The sequence below is a fragment of the Homo sapiens genome, chromosome 10, assembly GCF_000001405.40.
Source record: "Homo sapiens chromosome 10, GRCh38.p14 Primary Assembly".
Classification (NCBI taxonomy): Eukaryota; Metazoa; Chordata; class Mammalia; order Primates; family Hominidae; genus Homo; species Homo sapiens.
In genome coordinates, this window is record NC_000010.11 from 83689584 (window position 1) to 83714350 (window position 24767).

Consider the following 24767-nt stretch of genomic DNA (forward strand, 5'->3'; position numbering starts at 1 on the left):
GCAAACTAACTAAAAAAATCAGGCATAACTACACTAATGTTATTTAAAAGTAGTTATTAAAATAGGAAGCATTACAAGAGTTAAAGGGGAATGTTTCAAAATGACTAAAGGATAAAACCTACAAAGACAATTTCCCATTTCTAAATGTGTATGCCTAATAGTACATCCTCAAGATTATACAAAGCAAAAACTATAACGGAGCAATAAACAACATCCAATTATTGTGGGATACAATAACACATCTCCCTCAGAAACTGATATAGCAAGAAGACAAAGTATCAAAAAGGATCTAGATGGAATATCTTTTCAAACTTGACTTAATTGATATGTATACAATATTGCATAAAAACAGTACCAGAGTAAGCATCTTTTTCAATTATGAGTATTCACTGATATTTATTAATACTATATCATGAAGAAATTCAAAAGAATTAAAATCATTTATATATTCCCTGAGAACAGTGGAATTTAGCTAGAGAGTGATAACAAATGGACAATTGAAATTTTCATACATCTTAAAATTAACAATGAAGAACAAAATTGGACAAAAGGTTCTACTGAATACCAAGATTTTTATAATGCTAAAGCTAGTGTTGTATATGTACCAAGCAGAAAAAATTGAAACAGAATGGAAAGCTCAGAAATAGATCCACATATAGATGATTACTTGCTTTATGATAAAGGAGACTTCAGAGCAATGGAGAAAGGTTTTTTTTAAATCAACGTGAGGCATTTAGATAGCCATGTAAAAATTAATCTTTATCCTTAATTCACATAATATGCAAAAATTCAGTACAGGTGAGTTATAAATGAAAATGTGAAAGGCAAGTAGTAAAGCTTTTACACAATAACATAGGAAGATATTTCCATAAACTTATGGTAGGAAAGATGTCTTTGCAAAAATTAGCCAGTGGTGGCACGTGACTATAATCCCAGCTATGTGGGAGGCTGAGGCACCAGGTTCACTTGAACCCGAGAGATGGAGGCCACAATGAACCAAGGTCATGCCACTGCACTTGAGACTCTGTCTCAAAAAAAAAAAAAAAAAAGATATATTAAAAAGAACACAAAAAGTTAATAAATAGGAATAGGTGATTAATAATTTGAACTATGTTAAATTAACACATGTTCATCAAGAGACACTATTAAGCCAAGTTACAGTATGAAAGATACTTGCTGTATACATAGCTAACAAAATATTTTATGTAAGAAGGGCTCCCCCAAACAGGAAGAACCGAATAGAAAATGGTAAAATGCCTGAACTGGCATATCACAATTAACATATCCAAAAGTCCAATAAACATTTGAAAAGGTGCTTATCTCATCAATTATCAGACATGCAAATAAAAACCAATATAAAATATAATTGTCAGGTTTTTAAAAATCACAATAATATTTGTTGGGGAGGTGTGGAACAATGGAAAGTTTCATAGTTTTCTGTTAGAAGTATATGTTATGTCCGTGCAACCACTTGGGTACATTGGAAGTATCTTAAAGTTCATTTCACATATATATTCCTGTCACAGCAAGTCTACTCTTTAGTATATTCTCAATATAAATCTATGTACATTTTAGCAGCATTATTTGTAATAATCTTGTAATGGTAACAACACAAATGTCCATCAATTTTTGAATGAATAAATATATTGTGTGATATTCATACTGTGATCCTATACAGAATTGCAAATCAATTAAATTTATATAGCAAACATACAAATAACACAAATTGGCCCTGGATAATTCTGAGTAAAATAAAACAGACCTAAGAGAGTACATACTGTACAAATTTCAGTTAACAGGCAAAACTACCTAATAGTGTTAGAATAGTAATGACCTTTGGACGGGAAGCTACTGAGAGAGGCATCCATGATTTTATTTATGAAAATTAATTTAGCTATACATTCATGTTTTGTGTATTTTTCTGTATGTATAATTTAAAAGTTTATAAAGGAAAAATACTTAGGCCAACTTACATGTGACTTGATAAAATTTTTTCAGTAATTTTTATGTATTTCTAAATTCTTTCTTCAAGTGATGTTCTGATAAATGACGGGAGATTTGGGGATTTGGGGACCAACTTAAACCCACCCTTCTCCCCACTCTTCCCTTTCCTCTTGGTTTTACCCTGTTGAGTGCCAAGCTCACATGGAAAACTACAATGTCCTACTCTCTGTGACTACTCTCCACCAGTCAGCTCTTGGCCTCTTTCTGTAGGGAAATATTTTATAGAATTACAGAGTGGAACTATGGGGGTGAAGGAACTCTAGACGTTACCCTCCCCCTTCTGCAGTGACAGCTTGGGTAGTCAGACTTGAGGAGGGCTTCACTGGCCCAGGGGCACCTTTTACTTGGGAGATCTATTAGCTCTTTGATAATTAAAGGAAGCCTAAGATAAGCCCTGAGGAAAGGGAGTAAGGCTAGCCGCAGAGTGACTCTGCCACTGGTATTTACTTTGATCATGAGATTGCTTGTGCTGTGTCCATCTCAGTTTCCTAGGGCAGGAAAGTAGAGAGGTGCAGCCTCCCATAGTAATAGCTCTTAATTCCCAAAGGGTTAAGTGTGACCACTTGGAAAGCAGCAAATCTAGGTGAGGAGGAGAGATTTCCACAGGAAGACTGCAAGACCTATAGAAAGAATACCTATGGAGATGTTGACCTGACCAGGTTGTCTTTTTCTATGTAGATGCCTTCAGGGATCTGAGTCACTTCTCCAGGTGGCCTGGAGACCTAAATATCAGAAACTGGAGATTCCTTTCTGAGACTCATTTTTCTCATGCTAGAATGAAATGAACCACAGGTCAACCTAAAGTGTTGCAAGTACTAATAAATGCTCTTCTTGACCTCATCAACTTTGACTCATACATTGCTTGATTTAACCACAAGATTGTATGAAAAATGCCCCTCCTTGAATGTCTTGGCTCTGTAGTGGAATTATCATGGATAGTATCATAGCATCTTCCCAGTGCAGAGTGTTACCACTTTAGCTGTATCCTCCTTTCCTCCATTTCTAGTTCAATAATGAATTACTGGCAGGCATTTTGTGCAATGTAACCATGTCCCAGTCCTGCCCCTGTCTGCTGTTAACTGGGCTTGTCAATTTGAAAAAAGAGAGAAGTATAAAGGTAGAAAAGGAGAGGAGACTTTATTTCATATAAGAGGTTACAACCTGCAAGTTGGCCATCTCCCAGGCTGGGAAGCACAGCCTCCAGCCAAGAACAGAGACAAGCACTTCAAAAGAGAAGGTGTTGGGTTCAAAAGATGAGGGCTTACAGCTTTAGGCTGAATGGGTTGACTAAACGTACATATTCAACAGGTAACGAGAGGAACTATGAATTCATGAAAGTAGTCCTGACACATGTGTATTGAAAAAACATGCATATAACATACAACCCATGTCCATTTTAGGGGGGAGACTTAATATTTAAATGTGTTACAATTAGGCCCTCTACATCCAAAGGCATTTTCAGGACAAGAAGGCATGCAATGTACAACCTCTGTAAACTAGCCACAACCAGCCATGGTCAGTAGTCTTCTAACCTGGAGAAAGTTACTAAAATCAGTCTCTTCTCCAATCAAAGCTGCAGTTATGGCTGGTGGGCCAGGGCATCAGTTAGCTGGTGTCTATGAGCTGGATGAGTTGTAATTGTTTTAATATTGCCTATCTCAAGGACAATACTTATTTAGCTGCTAGGGGGAAAAAAAGAAAAAAAAGAAAAAAATGTGTGGCAGTTAGAACATAGTTTATCCTTTAAGTGTAGGAGTGAGTGACTTAACCCTCGCCTGCCATGGCCTTAGGTCTTGTCTCTAATTTTGGTATCTTAATGCTACAATGAGTCCGTTTTGTCAGTCTTATGATCTCTGGTTTAACATTAACGCTGGTCAGTTTTTGTGTCTAAACCATAAAAGGAGGAGGTATAATGAGCTGTGCCTGACCTCCCATCCTGTCATAGCTAGGAACTCAGTTTTCAGGTTTTTCTAGGGTCCCCTTGGCCACAGGGCATCCATTCAGTCGATGAGGGCTTAGGATTTTATTTTTAGTTTCGAGTCCTCATAACCAAGATGGGCCAATCGGAAGCTTATCTGTGAGTATTGAAATTTAAGGCTAAGTGAGATGTCATGCCTCTGTGTTTAGATAATACTGATATTTAAAATGCAGAAAGTGTGGGCCACTCTTCTTTTTTTTTAATGATGCAGACTTGGAAGTGAAGAAACTTGGTCTGCAGAGGAGATAAATAAGAAATATATATACAGAAAAACTGCAAGCCTCAATTCTAGTACTACATTCCTGCCCTTGGGTTTCAAGAGACACCCCTCTTTCATTATTGAACAAATTATCTCATTTATGCTGATTGAGGTAGTGTGAGATATTTTTATTTGTTATAAAAGAGAGCTAATAAATAGAAATATTATCACACTGAAAAACAAGTAGGTAGGTATTCTCAGCATGAGCATTACCTATGCTGATTCAAAATATCTGCTCCTTTAAATCTATAGCTTAGGTTCAAGTAGAGTTTTTTTCCCCATCTCAAAGATCTCTTTTTCTTACATGAAAACTTTAAGACTAGCTTATCATCTCTGTTTTGCAGTTTCCCTCTGAGACCAAAGGAGACAAAGGCAGTTATTTAGTTTTGTTTCATAACTGTCCTTCAAGATGTTGAAAATTGTAATTTGGCTTATTGACTTTTATCTTCTTGCAATTTGTTAACGTTTTCACTTGACTACATCTTACGCTACAGATGGGGAGAGAAAGCAGCACCAAGTCATTTTTCTAGTATTGCCTGTGAAGATCTTCCAGTAATTCTTATTCTCAAAAGAGCAAGCATTCTGGGCCACCTTCCCTTGGCAGAAGGAAGCAGAAGACACTTTTGTGGGCATTGCAGACAGCAGTGGAGGAAGTGGGCACATGATGTGCAGACTTGCCTTCCAAACCATGCTGATGTGATGGAGGTCGATCTGCCAGGCAGCAATTACACATTCACGGGGGAATCGATGCAGCTAAATTTACATTGACCTCAGCAAAATAGTTAGGAGTGGAGTAAATCCCTTCAGGCTCTTTTCCGGGGAAATGCAAATAGATGTAGACATGTATGTTCCTCAGAAAATCTTTTTCGGGAAACACATGGTTGGCCAGAAGATTATAGATGGATCCTGGGCCACATGGCATCTGCAAGTGTTTTGAGATCTTAATTTCTGTAGTTTAGTTTAAGCAGGAAAAGAGGTGGAACCTGTCATAAATAATAGTAACCTTAATATAAGTCAGTGAGCATTTTTTCACTTAATGTGTGCCAAGCATGGTGCTGTATTTATAATTAGTACAACTATAAGGAAAGGCATCATTATTATCATCTTATCTTATTGATGAGCAAACTGCAATTCAGGAAAGTTAAGTTGCAGAGTCTCACGTGTCAGAACTAGGACCTAACACAGGCAGTCTGATTCCAGTGCTCAGAGTTTGAGAGCACAATGTGAACTGTTTTTTTAATCATTCTTCAGACTATGAGGCACCTGCCAAGTTTTCAACCCTGAGGTCTAGGCAAAGGCTGTCAGAGAACCACACAACCAAGTGTAACCTGAGGAGTAGAAAGGAGACCTGGCATAAGGGACAGCATGTGGACAAACATGGTCAGTAGGCAGGAACAACAAATAGAACAGCTCAGTTCATGGTCGGCTGAGATCATGGAAAGCAAATGTGTCCAAGCCCCAACAAGGAATGCATGGGCCAGGCATGGGTGCATAAGAACATCTGCAGTGCTAGCTCTGTGTGCAGGAAAGGTACTCAGGCACCAGGGCTTTCCCAGACAGCAGGAGGAGTGAAGCATCATCACATCAGTGCATCTACTGCAGAGGGAGCACTGGCCTGCGTCAGAGCCCATGGTGCCCTTCCTCTGTGCCACTCTGTGTCCCTGTCCAGGCCTCATGGCTTTCTGAGCCTCTTTTCTATGCGAGAGGAGGAATCTCTATTTTGACTGCATTCATAGCCATGAATGAATCCAAGGAGAAGGGGCAGAGCTAACACTGGTTTGGGCTCCAAATCTCAGAATCTTTTGACCACAGTTCCCAGCATCATCCCATCACAGATGATTTAGCATCTGCCAAAAGCTTTGTAAACTGTCCCTTTTGGAGAATTTCTTGGACAGGGGAGAGTGACCACTTCATAGGCCACGGCTATATTCTTGCTACCCCAAAGGCTGCCCCTGCCCAGTCCTTAGCTGTGGGATGATAAATATACCCGAGTGGCTTTGCTTCTGTCATGCATCCTTCAGCCTAAATTCTCTCCTAGGGCAGAATGTTCTATGGTTTGTTCTCAATTTCTTCTCTCTTCCCTCACCTCAGCCTTTCCCCCATTTCTTAATTTTGGTTTGGTTTTCTGAAGAGCATCACTCCTCAGCTAGTTTATCTCAGCCCAGATTCCTTAGAATACTTACTAAGGTTTCTCAAAGCATTGGGTGCCTAAATACATGTCTTTTACAACTCACGTTGATCATTAGATAGTTCTGGTAGTTACTGGTTTTTCCCAATACTTGCCCATGGTGTTTTAACCCCCTAATAAAACAACTGGAAATCCCTAGATTTTATTTTTCATGGGCAGGTGGTTTGGGGAGACTTGGGATCTCCTGAAATTAAGACTCCTCTGATTCAACAATTATCTGAGAATCAAGAAAGAAGAAAGTGAAAAAAAAATGAGAATAATGAAACAGTTTAACATTTCTGAGGAATAGACTGGAGGTAATATGACATCTTTCAATTGGAGCTGGGAATCATTATTTGTTGGCCTGGCAAATTCAGTTCGGATTAATTGTGAAAAATGCCAGTTCGGAACAAGTTACTTGATTGAGTTGTTTAAATCACCCTTATCAAGAGTTGTTTGAGGACTGCCTAATCAGTCTACCATTAGAAGTATTTGCATGATCTAGAGCAACAGAAAAGAGGCCGCCCCAACTCCCATTTTGGAAGAAAGGTTTTGTTGTGGGTGGAAGGTTGGTTTTGGTTTTAATTTTGTTTTGGTTTTCTAAAGAGCATCCTAGAATTGAAGGACAATAACAGAGTTGATTCAATGGAGGCATGCAGTGTGATTTGCAGATGAAGGCCCTCATTAGAAACTTCCTGATTTTCTGCTCTGTGTAAATGTTTTCCGGTGAATAAACTTCAGAACGTCCATGTCGAAGCCTAGAAAGAGAATCTCTGGGGAAGAAGTGAGGGATGATCTTTGTCCATCTTTATGGTTCTTACCTTCTGCTTGTGAGGAAGGGTCTCTTCCTACAAAGTAAGGCTCCCCACCACCCTTTGCTTCCTGAATACGCTGCTTTGTCTCCAGAGCTCTGACTCAGGGACTTGGGAACTCGTTAGCATAGATGAGATGACCTGTTGTTTTCACAAGGCTTTCTTGAATTCTGGAGGTGATCAATAAAGGAGAAGGGACAAGGTGCTCCAACCCTCTGGTTCATCACACAAAGCCCCTCGGTATTGTCTCATCTTGCTTCTACCCGAGGCTCACAGTCGTGGTTAATTTATTCTGTCTCTTAAAATGTAAATATTGACCCCCAGAATCACCTGTACTTCCTGTGTTCTTTCCCTCCAGCTTCCAGCCTAACTTGCATGTGCGGACACCCAGCTAACACATGAGGTTGTTTTCCTAGCATTCTGACTTCCCTCATAGCCAAAAGAACATTCCAATCCTGATGTCCAATTCACCCTAGAGCCTCCCCTTCAAATCCCACTTCTGGTTGTAAGGACATGCCTTTTCGCCAGGACCCAGATTCCTTGAATGAGCTCTCTCTACAGGCAGGACTTGCTCTTCACCCAGGGACATAGACTTTCCCTTGTAAAGCCATTCTGAGATATAAGTATCATTACTGTATGCACTTTACAAATCAATACACTGAGGAATAAATAGATTAAATGATTTTTTCAAAGTCACACATCTCACAAAGGATAGAGCCGGGATTTGAATCCAGATGAATTTGAGCACTAAGCCACGGTTATTCTTTGCTGTTTTCAGCAGTTTCAAGATTCTAATGCACATCTTATAATTCATGAAAAAAACAATCTCTCATAACTAACTCCAACCCTGCACTAATATATTTTGAAGCAGGCAACTTTTATTTATTAAGATCTCCAGATAAACCTGTTTAGGTTTGCTATTTATTACTGTACTTCTTGCTCTGAAATGGGACTGGCTGGTAACTTGAAAAATGAATGGAAAATTGTGTCGTTGTGCTCTGACTGGTTAAAATCCCTCCTTCTGGGCTGAAATGCTAGTGTACACTCTCAGTTCTTGTAGGCATTTATTCTGGAATTATTGTGCAGACCATTAAGTTTGGGGGTTTTCTCAGTCTTTGCAATTTCATAAGCTGTAGAGGCTCCATTGACCACAGAAGGCTGAGTAGTAAATGGATATGTATTGTGAATGGAATGCTTTTTGCTAAAAGAATCCCTGTAGAGAAAAGCAAAAAAAGGAGAATGTCAAACTTGATTCAGACCAACTAAGATCCTGTGAGCCCTCTGTTCAACTTTACAATATCTGCTAATGTCCCTTCTTTTCCAGAGTAGCTGTCAACTCCACCTTAAGATCACCCTGAGGAATGCTCGGTTCCCCTAAGACAGGCCTGGGGAGTGCCTAGGTCCTTTACACCTTACCTAGGTCCTTCCTAAGACCTCAGCTCCTCTGCTTCCTCAGGTCTACATAGCTGCCTATTCCTTGCTAACTCCTTGCTGCCTGTTTTTCTCTGTAACACCTTCAGACTGGCCCTTTAAATTACCATTTCTTTCTTTCTATGGCTGGACTTTTTAGCATTAATTCATGACAAGCTCACTGTAGGCAGGAGGCTGGCCCTTTACTTCCCATCCCTCAGCTCTCTCTTTTCTATGCTGGTCTCCATGGATTTCTCCCCCGCTACTTGTGTTTGGGCATAATCTATTGCCAAACTTTGGTAAGAAGCACTGACTTCCCTGAAGCAACCTCGCTAAAAGGACCCCTACGGTGTGTCCGGTCATAGGAACAAGGGTTTCTGACCTTTACGGCTCTCTTCAAGGCAGTCATTCTACCAGTGTGTTCATGTATATGTGTATACGTATGCAAGCATGTGTGTATGCGTGTGTATGTTATATGGATGCATGCATGCACGCATGCATGTGTAATGTGTGCATGTGTAAAAGTACATGTGTGTCTGAGTGCATACATGTGAGCACACGTACATAAGAGTGTGTTTGTGTGCCCATGTGCAGAGGTAGGGAAGACAGAGTGAGTGGGTGAACCCTTGACCAACTTTTCATCAACATGACTTGGTCAATCTTGGAGAAGCTCCTTGGGAAGCTTGTGGCACCAACACCTGAAATGCAGGAAGCTGGTTCAGAAAGTACTTGTAGGACAGAAAGAAACACATCAGAAGCAATTACTGGTGATTCAAGAGATGGTGGGAGATTAGAAAATTGCCAGCATCCTGGCATTTGCAAGGGTCACCAAGGGACAGTGAGTGAAAAACAAATATTTTTCAAGTTGTTTGGCAGCACTTTATCCCACTCGCTGGTGGATGTGGGGAGAAAGGGAAAGCAACCTCTCAGACACACTTACGTCCTCTGTGTGCCTCAGCAAGACTCATTTCAATTCTTTCTGGACACATGTTTGGAGTCACTTAAGGGGCAGTGGATGCAGCAACTGTAGTTCACTTCCCTAGTTCAAACTTTAGAGAGACCCTGAAGACATACCCTGATTTTCTTTGTTCAGCATGAATGTTAAAATCAAAAAGCTATGGACATTTCCAGGAAAAGCCAGCTGAAATATCAAATCAGCTGAAAATTCACAAATCCGGAAAACTAGAAATTGTCTCTATTTAAATGTATAAATACATTTTTTAAATAAAATGTAATGAGAAAACATAAAATGTCTGATCACAAACAATTATAAATGTAAGCTTACCCACAACTGCTCTCTGAGACGCATTTTTGCATCTCCCTGCCTCTTTCTCCTCCCTGCCTCCACCCTACACACCCACAGGCACATACTCATCAGTGCTCTGGGCCACACTGGTCTTTTTTCTACTCCATAGATATGTCCTGCACCCTCCTTTCTCAGGGGCCTTGCTGTCACTCTTCCATCTGCCTGGAATTATCTCCTCATTCTCCTTTTTTAGCTGACTATTGACCTCTGCACATTTCTTTAGCACACATCCTCCTGCAGAGAACTCACTCATTTGTGGTGTGATGATATCAGAATTTCTGGACTGATATTCAGATGTATACAGCTTCTTTACATGTATGAGCTTCTTTATTTTCTTGTGCTGAAGATCTCATTCTAGCTGATTGAAGGTGGAGTTTAAAATGTGACTAAAATTGTCTTGGTTCCTTTAAGTTTTGAACATTCTCTTTTTGATAAACTCAAAATCACATGATCTGAAAGACCAAAACAGATAACCCTTTGTCAACTAAGATGGACCCTAAGGTTGAGAAAACAAGGTTCCTATAGGTCGAGGGTTCAGGGCCCAGCTGGCAAGGCAAATTTCTACATTCTTAGGGTTTTAAATTCCCTAACAATAGGAATTATCAGACCCGTCCTAACTCTGACTTACAACCCAGGTCACTACAATTCTAACTGGACAGAGGACCAGCCTTAGAAACATTCTTTTCTGATAAGCAATTGCAGACTTTAAACCAGTTTCAGCAGCGTATAGAGGCTGTGCACAAATGATCTTTGTGTCATAAAGAATTCCACCCTATTTTAAGCAAAACCCTGCTCCAAAGTAAACATAGGATATATGTTACATGCATGTTTACTCACTGTGCCTGTGTTCGACTCCCCTCATAAATATGTACAGCTTTTCCCCCAAACCAACTAAATATATTTAATACCAACTTGTGAGCCATAAAACCCAAACTCCTTCCCTTCTTTGAAGACAGAGTACCTTTGATATACAATGGAAACTGTCCCTTCCCAGCCTGCAAACTAATATCACCAATAAAGCTCTTTTCTGCTATTTACCTATCCTGCTCATCTTTTGGATGACATTCAAATTATGTAAGTTTTTATTAGGTCTTTTTCTTCTCTCTTAAATGTATTCCCCCTCCCCCAGCCCTACCTAATAAGGTGTTTAGAGGTAGAAGAAGGTTTACATGTCCCCAAGGAACAAAGAAACCCAAAAGGTGATGTTAATGGAGTTAAAAAGAAATTATTTAGGCAGATAATGAGTGTAAGAAAGTCCTCGGTAAGGTTTTACTTTTAGTGAAAAGTAGCCCCCAAATTATTTTGTTATTATTATTATTTCTTTTTCTTGAGACAGAGTTTCACTCTTGTTGCCCAGGCTGGAGTGCAGTGGCGTGATCTCAGCTCACTGCAACCTCCACCTCCCGGGTTCAAGCAATTCTCCTGCCTCAGCCCCCTGAGTAGCTGGGATTACAGGCACATGCCACCATGCCCAGCTAATTTTTGTATTTTTAGTAAAGATGGAGTTTAAAAGCAGCCTTAAAAATCAAGCTGCAGACATAGTTGGAAGCTTGTACGGATGAAAACTGGCAGCTGTGCCCATAGAAGGCTACCTGGGGGCCAGCATGTTCAACCTGATGGCTCCATCTTCCCTTTTCTTTGTCAACCACGTGTACAGTAAGGAAGACAACATGGCCCAGGAAAGGTAGAGATCCCATTTGCATAGTAAAAGATTATGGTGGGATGGCCAGCTTCTTCACATGCTATGCAAATGTCACAACTGGTCCAACCAATTTCTCAGGCCCTATATAAATCAGACATTACTTCTTCAAGCTTGTCTGTAAAACCCCATGCATTCCACCATGAAACTGGAAGACCCACTTGGGAGCTCCTCTCTCTCTGTAGGAGAGAGAGCTATTCTTTGTTCTCTTTCTTTCGCCTATTATGCCTCCACTTTCAAAGTCACTACTTGTGCGTCCACGTCGTTGATTCCCTTGGTGTGAGACAACAATCCTCCAGTATTTACCCCAGACAATGACGCCACTTCACTGACTTGTCCCCAGCTGCCCTCAAGGTCCTCACTGGCCTCTCAGCCTCTTGTTCTGCCTGATGACCAGGCTTTCTGTACTAGTGTATATTCAGGTCAATCTGTGTTTTTCCAGGCTGTTGAATGTCATGCTACGTGCACTTCTGATGACTACAGATATTGCCATTGTCTTCAGCCATGATACTCCAACACTCTGCGGTCTCCTTGCCCATCCCAAGCCTCTTCTGGTCAGTGGCACTAAAGTACTGTAGTGGCAGTAAAGTACCATAGCATTGGGCATTGGAGCCAATTTGGGGATGAATCAGTCAGTTGAGGAATTCTCCAGCTAGAAGTAAGCACAGGGATCTGTATTCTGACTGTAAGAAAAAGAATCACCAAACCTGGTTCTTTGAGCATGGCACGTGGGTCACAGCATTTCCCAACTCCGGTGGCAGGTGCATGATCACAAACATTTCTTTGGACAGCCCAGTGCAACAGTGTCAACAGTCTCTTAGATTTGCTGGCAGGAACAGCAGCATGTTGGCACACTTCCGCACCCCTTTTTATCTAGAAGATGTGGTCAAATTTGCCAGTATCCAGAGGGCACTTTTGAGGGCTAACTTACACAGCACTATGAGAACAATGAGGACTGACCACCTGGAATCTGGGGCTTATTATAGGAATAAGAATCTGAGGATCAAAAAAAGACATTCTCAGCATAGCATTAGAGATTAAAATATGCCACCCCCAAACCTGCCACTTTGGCATAAGGATTATTTTGAGCTGAAAATATTTAAGATTCAATAAATGCAGTAAAAAGTCTTCCCATGGCTTCTCTTATCTGACTGAAAGCATAAACTTTTGAAATATGAAGGCAGCCACCAATCCTCTCTCCTGGGGAAGTTTTATGACCATGAAGAAGATGAAAGTCAGCCTTGAGATGGACCTTTGCAAACAAGTCTTACTCCATTTGTCCCCCCATATATGTACCTTCCCAGAGTTTGCCACCGTTGGAATCCCAAAATCTTTTCTTTTGTTCTTATCATTTCTCTGCAAATGCATTGTTTTTAGTTAAGATGCTATTAATACATCAGTCCAGGTTCTGGCCACCCTTCTGAGGGACTCATCACTGAGTTTCTCCTGTGTAGGTGTGCTGCATGTGTTAATGTTCTGATTTTCCTGTTAATCTGTCTTTTGTCAGTCTGATTTGCAAATTCATAGCTGGAAAACTTAGAAAAGTAGAAAAAAAGTGGGTTTTTTTCCCCTTCTCTACGATAGCAGTCATTTAATTCTAAATGATATTTACTACATATTCTTTCAGAAAACACTTGTTTTGACAGATTCTTGATATAGATTCAAAAGCAAACCCTGCCATTGAGGAGCTCACAGTGCAGTTGGGGGGATAGAAAGCAACTAAGATGTGATGTATGTATTGACAGAGTGCCATGGAAAAACTAGTTCTGGGGATGAGAGAAGTCTGCATACGCTTTCTAGAGTTTTAATTCCTATGCAGTGCTGTGTATGATATCTTGATTCAGGCAAGCATATGGTTAAATCACTGTTCTATCACTTACAGAAAATAAAACAAATCAGGTCGTAAATAAGGAAGGATTTTATTCCAAAGGATTATTGAATTAGGGGGAGACATATTATTGCAACTGCGGGACAGCAACTACTGCAGTAGGGAGAAGGCTCCCACCGTGAGATCTGCAAGTGCCTGAAAGGTTAGGCAGAAAAGGGCTTTTCCTGCATACGGAGGAATAAACAAAGATAGAAAGAAACAGGATGAATGGATAGAGGTGGCAGCTGTCATGATCTGACAGGTAATCGGAGAGGTTTTACCCAGAGTAGCACAGTCTCAGGAGGGGCCAGGAAGAGGGGCTGTATGCTGGCTCAGGTTAAGGGTAAATCAAAGTTCAGGGATGTTGGGAAAGAAATAAAGATTGAATAAAGTTTGTTCAAGTCATAGTAACAGGTATTTTAGTCTACACTTGTCAGTTGGTACAGTTTAGCTAGCTAGTCATTTATGGGGCAAAGAATAGAAATTTGGAGAGCCTGTGTCTGGCATTTTCATAAGTGAACAAGGTCGGGCATCTGAGTCTGGCCTAAGTCATATCAGGAAGGATGATCCTTCACAATAAGGCTGAAACACAAAGTGTGGGAAGATTTCTTAGTTTTTGCTGTTTTCCAGGAGCACAGGCTCAGATAAAATTTGATATTGTCATTGAGCCTCAATTTCTTCATAGGAAAATTGGGATTAAAATGGTTCCTTTGCCAGGGAGGTTGTGAAGATCATAGATGCAACTTGTATAAAGGAAGATAGCATGGTACCAGGCACATTTTAAGAGTCTAATAATAGCAGTCAAAAGTATTATTCTGATTCATTTTTGTTGTTGTTATTACTGCATTCTAGGCTTTGCTTTTATTAAAGCAATTTTATTATCTATTTTGCAACTAAATGCAACTAACCAGAGTCTATAGCAAAGCCTTTAGCAAAAAATCAAGTGTGTAATTAATCTTAATGTGACCTCACTACCATGCAGGAGAGAGCCAGTGGCACTGGAAGCATTTGACCAAACAAAGGACATACCAGTCAGATCTTAAACTAACTTTCGAACATGAGTTCATTCAATGCATTCCCTGGAACCCATGCAAAGTGATTTGCAATCTAAATGAGAACAGGCCACTGGAGTATAGAGGCTGGAGACTCCTTTGTGGGACTAAAGAGATGCCAACTCTCTGAGGGTTGTGCTTCTGGTTCTCCATGTGTACTCAGACTCCTGCTAATGTGACCGCAGTGGCTCTTTCTGGGAGCATTCAAATCCTCCCAGACCTTTCTGTCTCACATGGAGGATGGGGTTTCTCTTAACATCTTCTTATTGGTTTATAAAGGATTCCTTTGAGAATTTGTAAGGAGCCTTACATATTTCATGGGCTCATCTGCCTGTTTAATTATGTCTCCATGCAAAAAAGGCTTCTTGGCTAGGCATACATTTTACAATATGGTTACCTAAATATTTAAACAGCTGGGCTTCTCTGTATCATCAAGAACTGTGCCAGTCTTTCCTTAAGAGGAAAATCTCAAAATGAAGAAGCTGTGGAAACGCATGTATATTATAAGTAGATCTCCATGTATAAATAGATACATGATTTTTATTTTTAAAGCTAATTAAACCAAAAAAAAAAAAAAAAAAGAAAGACTGTCCTTTGCCTGGTCTGTTTGTGGAGCGAGTTTAATATGCTGTAATTGAGCTTTGGAGCAAAAGAGGCACAAATGAAAATCCGGATTTTATCATTTACCAACTGGACAAAACTATGAAAGTCATTTAGCCACCCTGAGCCTTATTTTCCTCCTTTTAAAAAATGAGAGTAATGATGGTGTAATTCCTAACTCCTGGAAATCACTAATCTGTTCTCCATTCCCTTAATTTTTTCATTTTGGGAATATTATATAGATGAAATCATATAGTATGTAATCTTTGGAGATTCATGCTTTTCACAACTTTATTGAGGTATTATTAACATACACATAGCTGCATATATAATATATGTACAACTTGATGAGTTAGGACGTAAGTATACAATGATGAAAGCGTCACCAGAATCTTTGTCATTAACATATCCATCACCTCTAAAAGTTTCCTCCCACTGTATTTATTATTATTGTTTTTATGTGTGATAATACTTAATATAAAATACATTCTCTTAGAAAATTTTTAAGTATATAACACACTATTGCTAACTATAGAAATTATGCTATGCAGTAGATCTCTAAGTCTTATTTGTGTCACATAATTGAAAGTTTTTATCCTTTAACTAATCGCTTCCCCATTGCCCCCTCCCCTGGATCCCTGGAAACCACTATTAACTCTGCTGCTCTGAGTTTGACTATTTTACGTTCCTCATACGAGTGGGATCACATAGTATTGTTCTTCTGTGTTTGGCTTATTTCACTTAGCCTAATGTCTTCTAGGTTCATCCATGTTGTTACAAATAGCAGAATTTTCTCCTTTTGTAAAGCTGTGTGATATATGCACACAATGGAATATATATGTGATAGGGATTCCACATGGATATATGGTATATATATCCATGATATGTAAATAAAACTATTTTTAAAGCTAATTAAACGAAAAAGAATGTCTGCCTTTTGCAGACATTTATCCATTCATCTGCGGATGAACACTTAGGTTAATTCCATATCTTGTCTATTGTGACTAGTACTGCAGTGAATGTGAGAGTGCAGCTGTCTCTTGGAAACCCTAATTTCAATTCCTTTGGATATATACCCAAAAGTTAGATTACTGAGTTATATAGTAGTTCTATTTTTAGTTTAAACCCAAAATAATCCCCTGAAGATTCATCCAGGTTAGTAATTATATTTTTTAAAATAAGAGTATAGCTGATTATTAAATCAACTTGATCCATCCAAGTCTTAGTAAAGAGTTAATTCCCTCCAGATGGTTCATGCAAAGGGACTTTAATGAAGAGATTAGTGCTAGAGGTGAGAGCAGCAGTAAAGAAGCCAACAAAGGTTGTGGACACACCTAGGGGTAAGACAACGTGGGAGCCATGGACATCCCCAAAGCTGAAGCAGAAGGGGAAAATATCACCTGACCAGAGCCCAGTGAGTGGCACAGCTGGAAAAGAAGGAGTGTTGTGGTGGGAGCAGGGATCAGGGAAAGACATAGCTACTGCAGATTGCAACTGGGAGAGCATGTCCTGACCTCTCTTCCTGCCCCCCAGATTTCTTGCCTAACTTTGGCTGAACCTAACAGGAGGCCAGCAGACCAGCAAATCCACACAAAGCAGTCTTTGGAAGCCAGCCTCTTTGGGCATAGAGCAAGGCAAAGAAGGGCACAGATCGATTTTAGGCCAAACAGCAAATAACCAGCACAACAAATAGTGATGTAAATTTGTTCATTCAACAAATTTTTTTTAATGTCCACTATTTGCAAGGCTCAATTCTCAACATTGAAGGAGCATAGTAAACTAGAACAATAGAGCTTTTGTCTTTAATTTCTAGTAGGCAGAGACAACCAATAGATATGTATATTTATAGATATTATAACATATTTACTGATGTAAATGCTATAAAGAAATGAGAAAGATGATTTTGGAAAAAGAAGGCACACTGCTGAAGTGATGCCTTTGAGTAGGGAGGAGGAAGAGGTGATGGGATCTAATGCTCAAGAGATGTGGTGGCCTTAAATAGGGACATGGGCAGTGCATCCATAATACCAGCCTGAGAGGCAAAATCAGTGGGTACAGAGAAGTGTAGGATTGCAGACGCAGTGGATGGAACACACAGGAGTTCTGTTCTGTTGGTTTATTTTCTCAGTGAAAATGAAGCAAGCTCAGAGGAAGGATATTAAAAAGGAGTTGGAGGTTTTAGGAAAGAAAAGATGTGATAAAGTATCTAGGAGAGTTGAAGTGTAAATGGACTAAGTCATAGGAGTCTTTTAAAAATTCTTGCCCAGGCTGTATCCCAGACCAATTAAATCACAATCACAAGGAGTGAAACACAGGCATGAGCAATTTTTGAAGCTCCACAGTTGACATTAATGTGCAGAGAAGTTTGGCAATCACTGGACTGTGGAAAAGAAGCATGACAGTTTGGCAACACAGAGGTTAGAGGTCATGACTTTAATGTGAGACCAGTCAACATGGTCATTTTTTTCTCACCAGTTTCAGTGGCATGTATGTAGGTATAGAGTGGACTGTGGCTTATATTTAACCATGGTTGAGTTTAACTAGATAAAGATGATGGACAGAGAGGAAGACAAGAGAGCTCAGGTGTATGGTAAAAAATTGATGAATATGATGAAATCTGGGCTGTTGGCTGGGAAAGAAAGGACTTGCCCGTGACAGTAACAAGTCAGCAGGATAAGTCTGTAGGCTCCTATGAGGTAAAATTTCTGGAGCTGCTGTACTAGAAGGAGTGAGCTGGAAAAGTAGAAGATGGTGATCAGATTTTAGTGTACGTGGAACTGAGATTGTGGAGTGGGTACAATTCCTGGTAATGCTAAATTTCAGAGCATGAGCACATGAGTTGGTGGCTGATAAGGGCTAAAAGACAGAATATTAAGGAGAGCAGGTTAAAGAACGAAAAGTTTAATACATTATAGAGTCCTATGGGTAGCTGCTGAAATCCTCAAGAAATATGTCATGAATAGTATTAGAAAGAGAGGCATTAAGCCAGATGCAAAAAAAAAATGTTATATTTAAATGTAATGTGTGTTGGAGCAAATCTGAAAGAAACGTTCCATTGTCTATATGGAACTATAGAGCAGTGATTAGAAATAGATTTTTGGGGCCCATCTGACCTGATACTGGTTATACCACTTAAGCCTTGTGCTCATGATTTAACCTCTTTGAGACCCAATTTATTCATGAATCAATATGATGATAATATCTTTCTAATCAGCTTTTTATTAGAAGTTAACTGATGTAGAGCCTGGAAAGTGCTTAGCACCTTGCCTGGCATTACCACGTGGATTTTCTTAATTATCCCTGATTGTTCTCAGTCTGCAGTGACTCCTGGCTCGCACCAAGAGCAAAGTTCTCAAACTCGAATGTGCATCAGAATTATCCTGAGGGCTTGTAAAACATATTGGCCAGCCTCAATCCCAGCATTCTTGATATATGGTGGAGCCCAAGAATTTGCATTCCTAAAGTGTTCCCAGGTGAGGCTGATTCTGCTGGGCTGGGGGGCCACATTTTGAGAACCACTGCTGGGGTGTGGACCCTAGAAGCTGTGCTCTAACAAGCCTCCATGTGACTTTCATTATAAGCTCAAGTTTGAGAACTGCTCTAAAGATTAGTAAAGCTAATACACTTACTCCTTGTTGCCTGGTTCATCTCAGTATGTCTCTAAATCTTTAGGTCACAGTGGCATCAAAATTTTCCTTTCCCCTGCCTCCAGGAAAAATTGATTTATCTGTTTCTCCTCAGGCCCTTTCTTGCTTAGTTGCCTAAATAATTTTCCACATGACTTGGTAAAAATTGGAAAAGAATGTTTCTCACCAAATGGATTTAAGTGATTTTTCAGGCTTTTAAAGGAAACATGCTTTTAACTTCCATCAGTTTCTAATGCCAGAAATGATAAGATTTAATCATCAGAGGCTCTACCATGGGCTGTCCATTATATGGGGGACAAAAAAAATCTGAAATTTGAAAATAAAAATGCTGGTGTCATATCCTTTCAATATCTTATAGAAGTGAAGATCATTCAAAGATTCTACAGGAGAATATAATTAGTTCATCTCATAGTTTAATAGTCGTTAAAAATTACAGATTCAATGAAGTTATTTGTAAACATGTATTTTTGTCCAGAAGAGATGCAAATAATTTTCATCCAAAGGAATAGATTATCCCTAAAATTTATAGTCTACTGGACAGTAAACAGTTTATTTAAGAGTAACAATTTTTAACACTTGTTAAATTGCCTATAAACACTCCTAGTTTTTAAATTTTTTTAGAACTAGCCACATCTTGCTGTTTCCCTCATTAGTTAATAAATTTTAAAGTCTTTGACGTGTGCTCATTTTATATTTGCCTGAGAGTCATGATTTGGCGTATCTGAAAATTATACTTTAACACTCTTCACTGAATAACCCATTTGAAATTGTCTTGAGAGAACTAGGCTTAAAACGTGGTGCACATGATCACTCTGTGGCATAAATGTACCACCACTAGTTAAATTTTACTGTAATCAATTCAAAAATCCATTGTAGCAAAGGACAACAAAATGCACCAGGATCGGAAAGCAAAGAACCATGGTTTCCCGGGTCACCCTGGTTTCCTCACAGGAGAGGTACTCAGGTAGTGGCTATTCAGGTGTCCTGCCTTTCCAGGACAAAGTCCTGCCGGAATGCAAGAATGCCAGGGTGAGTGATCCTATCACCTGCAACTTTTTTGCTAAGCCATCTCCCTGGGCTAGGATGAAGTTCTGGTAGCTTCTGACTATGTAACTTCTGGTATCCTCTTGCTGTACTGTCTTGGGGTTCTATTTAGTAACCACTCATCACACATGTCTGGTCACATTGTAACCATGCAGCAATGGCCAGCCAGGGTCGTCCACTGGAATCTCCTGCATTATAAGGAGCATGGCAGGTTCAGCCACACTATTTCTATCCACTCGTCTCTTAATCAAATTCAGATTCCCAGGTGAAGTGAACACTTTTTAAACAAATATACGAAATTCCACAATGGAGAATGCTCATTAAAACCTTATTGTCTGAAATACAAATTAGCTATGATTTCAGAAAATGAGAATATCAATCCAAAGAACATTTGAGAAAAGGAAATTATTTATTTCAAAATAAATTTCAAAATTCAGAAAAAAATACAGGGCTAAAAATTAGTAAAAGTAATGAATAATCCAAAATATGGTTTTTATGAAGTCAAAATAAAAAAATATATAATTAAGTTTAATCAAAATAAGACATCACCATTACAAAGGGTATATCATACATCGTAATGGATAAAATGATTAAATTATAATGGATTTCTCTCACAGTTTTGTGATAAATTTAGAAATAGCAATGAAAGGGATCATATTCTGTAAAACAGACCAACAAGTACTAGAATAACAGCAAAACTAACATCAAAATTAACATAGTAAGAGGTAAAAAACCTGAACAGAGCAACTGAGAAAATAAAGTTGTTAAAGATTATCCACAGCAATGAAGGTGAACAGTGTGAGAGGGATTTTCCACATTATTCTTTAGCAATTTCAGTGTCAACTATTCATTCCAAGTCAAGGATCAAAAAGATAGTTACCCGTTATAATTACAAGGCAATGGCTAACTCAATCCTTAGAGCTGCTGAAGTTTTTACAAAATTAGAAGTGAATTGATTGTAGTTAGCTGTAGATATGACAATCTAAATAAACTACTCTAAATTAAGCAATATAATAGGAAAGTAATAAATCAAATTGGGAATCCAACCCCAATGCAATATTTAACAATTCATAAATATTACACAGTAAATCAGTAACTTAAAGAAAACAAATTATATCATTTTTATAGGCATGTAAAAGAAATTTGGGTGATTCTTAACTCATGCCAATAAATAAATATTTTTTAAAAGACAGCATTCTTTAAGTTTTTTTAAATTTTTTTAAATTAGAAATATCTTTGTTTTCTGAATAAAAACATACAAACATTGTTTATAGAGCTGTGATGTCACAGATGCAGGTGGGTTGACCCACAGCCTCTGGGTCTTCCAGTTGGTGCCTGAGTTTCTACAAGCAGGATACTTATTCATCAACAATTTATATAGAGTGGTTCCAGTACCAGAAGAAGACTATGCAGGTAGAGGCAGCAGCCCATTGAGGTATCTGTGGAACTGAGAAAAGTCCAGAGGGATAACCAAATATTGACAGGAGAAAGATGAGCACTTTTCCTGGTGATACTATTTTGCCACTGGCAAGGCCAACTCCAAGTTACCCAAGCTACTAGTAAACTTCTTTCTGAGGAAAATATCACCACCACTCTCTCCATTGAAGGTAAAAACTAGACTAGTTTGATTCTAAAATGTATGTAGGTTCCAGGCAGAATCATCTGTGGTATTATTCTACTTACATGTGTTTAGACATTTACCAAAGCTACATCCAGATCATTAAACAGAGTCCTGGAAGGTGCTATAACAACATCCTCTATTCTGTCACCATCTCCTCAAACTCACTGTAATGGGGAAAAAAAAGGCCTCTAGGGAATAGTGCAGGTAATAGCTTAGCTTATGACTTGGTTATGTGTCAATGTATTCCCTATCACCTTTGCTTGCATTTCCTTATACAGCATCTTTAGAATATGGTTATAGTCTTACCTGGGCATGTAAAAATGTTTATTGTGACAAGATTACTAATCCCCCGTTAAAAACAGGTAAGCAGGGTTTTCTTCTCCTTAATTTTTGTATATGTAAGAATGAATTTCATGTTTTCTTCTTTCTTCATCTTTTGCAAATACATACCTGGTAATATCTACAATAACGATGGCCTAAACAAACAAATTGAAATAGACCAGAAAGCAAAAGTTGTTCCACAGTTTGTGAGTTCCTAGGATCTATGAAATATCTAGAGTTAAGAGAAACATTACTAGTAAAAGCAATGAACAAACTCAAGTTGCATTCGATGCAAAAGAACTGAGGGTCTTTATTAACATATAACTAATATCCAGAAGGAAACTGTGTGGAGATCTAACACAGCTGGTGGTCGAGGTCAGATCTGGCTGGTTATCAGTCATGGCCCCATGCCCCAGTAATGCTGAAGAAGTTGTAAGAATTACATTAATCTTCAAGTCGAAAGAACTTTTAAACAGACTATGTATATTTTGTCCAAAGAGACACAATTATATGCTACATTTAAACCTTATATCTAAGAAAAACACCAAAATTGCTCTGATTATTGAGACACAATTTAAAAGATCTTTCAGGTTGCCAAGAAAATAGTTGAAAATGAGAAACTGGATGCTATGATTGAAGAGTGCAGAAAACTAGACAAAATTGAAATTTTTCAATTTATGAGAGCAAGTCTGTGTAAAGGACTGTGAAAGGCTAATTGAAAAATGTTTTTCTTACAGGGGAAGAAGACAATCAGAATGACATGGCTACAATTGTTAATCTTTACATTTTGTAGCAAAGGCAAAGAAGTCTCATTTGGTATAAAATTTTCCAATTAATATTTAATTAACTTGGGGAATAAAAAGAAAAGAAGGAAGGAGGCAGGAAAGACAGCTCATAAGAAAAACATTACAATATAGAAGTATCAAAGCAGAAACTCAAAGTATGTCACAACTTTACCTCACCTCTACCTCGAAAGAACAATTGTGTAATAATTGGATATTAATATGTTTAACTTGCATAGGATAAATTTACATTTTATACAGTATAACTGATGTATGTTCCATATATAATATGCTAATTTTTTTCTGTTTTTATTACACAAAAAGAGTCTCACAACATAGATAAGGTTCCCTAATGTTATTTTTTTATTTTAAAATGTATCATGGACTTGTGCTGGTGGGAAGAAAAAGTAAATATACTTTTCCCAATTCTCCCATTATTACAGCTAAAAATCCTGGATATTATATAGATATAACACAACATAAGAAGACTCTGAAAGATGGAAAGAATGCAGACTGGCTGGATGCACCTGTAATCCTAGTGGCTCACACCTGTAATCCTAGCACTTTGGGTGGCTGAGGTGGGCAGATAACTTGAGGTCAGGAGTTCGAGACCAGCCTGGCCAACATGTTGAAACCCCATCTCTACTAAAAATACAAAAATTAGCTGGGCATGGCAGCAAGTGCCTGTAATCCCAGCTACTCGGGAGGCTGAGGCAGGAGAATTGCTTGAACCTGGGAGGCGAAGGTTGTAGTGAGCCGAGATCCTGCCATTGCGCTTCAGCCTGGGTGACAGAGCAAGACTCCAACTGTAAAAAAAAAAAAAAAAAAAAAAATGCAGACTTCGGGACCTCAGGATCCAAAGACCAACATGGTGGTTCTCACTGTATGTTTTGTTTTCGTTTGTCTCCTATAGCCTACACTTGGAGCCCAGAAACACCAACAGGCAATGAGAAAAAAAAGAAAACCTACTTTCTCTACCTAAAGCACAAAGGAAGGAACAGCACAGACAGGCAGAAACCTTTTCAACAATAATTGTTCTACCCTAAAAAACCCCAAAGAAAAATCTGCGGCACACTCCCACCTTTGCCAGCAAAGACTAAGTGGGGAGCCTAGACTTCTGCGATGAAGCACCCCAACACAACCTCTGCATATTTTACTTCGACAACATAGAAAAATGAACCAATTCCTTGAAAAATCAAGCTAATACAACATAAAATAGATAATTTGATAACCTATAGCAACTATGAAAACTGAATTTGTAACTAAAAATCTCCCCCAAAAAATCTCCAAGATCAGATAGGTTCATTGGAGAATTCAACCAAATGTTTAAGGAAAAATTAACACCAATTCTGTACAAACTCTGCCAAAAATAGAGAGATGAGAAGACTTTCCAATTGATTTTATGAAGCTAACATTATTCTAATATCACCACCAGACAAGGACAATATAAATAAATAAATAAATAAATAAATAAATAAATAAATAAATACAAAACTACAGACCAATAACTCTCACAAATGTAGAAGTAAATAACTTTAACAAAGCAGAATTCAGTGAAATATATATAAAGACTAAGTGGGGTTTATTTTAAGAATGCCAAGGCGGTTCAATATGCCAATATCAATTAATTTAATCCACCATATTAACAGGCTAAAGAAGAAAAAAAAAACACATCAATCAATGCAGAAAAAAGCATCTGACAAAATTTAACACCCATTCATGATAAAATCTCTCAAAAAAATAGGGATACAGGGGAACCACCTCAATTTCATAAAGAAGATCTACACAAAAGCTGTCCTATCATTATATTTAATGGTAAGAGACTGAATGTTTCCTCCCTAAGCCTGGGAAAAAGTCAAGGATACCTGCTTTCACCACTGTTAGTCAACCTAATGCTTGAATTTCTAGTGAGTGCAATAGTAAAATAAAAAGAAATAAAAGAGGTACAAGTTAGAAAGGAAGAAATGAAACTATTTCTGTTAGCAGATGCCATTATTACATACATAGAAAATCTCAAGGATTCTACCAAAAAAAATAGAAATAATAAGTGAGTTCACTAAGGTCATGGGATATAAAATAAGCATACAAAAATCAATTGTATTTTTATATACCATCAATAGACATGTCGTCATTGAAATTACAAATTTGATACCATTTACAATTTCTTAAAAATGTGAAATATTTAGATGTAAATCTAA

The 24767-nt window shown here is 38.5% G+C and overlaps 2 annotated features.

Moving 5' to 3' along the window:
- Positions 11799-12299: an enhancer, noted in NCBI's record as "H3K4me1 hESC enhancer chr10:85461138-85461638 (GRCh37/hg19 assembly coordinates)". NCBI's record gives its function as "activates a minimal SCP1, AML or CMV promoter by ChIP-STARR-seq in naive H9 embryonic stem cells {active_cell/tissue: H9 hESC(naive)}" and the evidence as "EXISTENCE:reporter gene assay evidence [ECO:0000049][PMID:30033119]".
- Positions 12300-12800: an enhancer, noted in NCBI's record as "H3K4me1 hESC enhancer chr10:85461639-85462139 (GRCh37/hg19 assembly coordinates)". NCBI's record gives its function as "activates a minimal SCP1, AML or CMV promoter by ChIP-STARR-seq in naive H9 embryonic stem cells {active_cell/tissue: H9 hESC(naive)}" and the evidence as "EXISTENCE:reporter gene assay evidence [ECO:0000049][PMID:30033119]".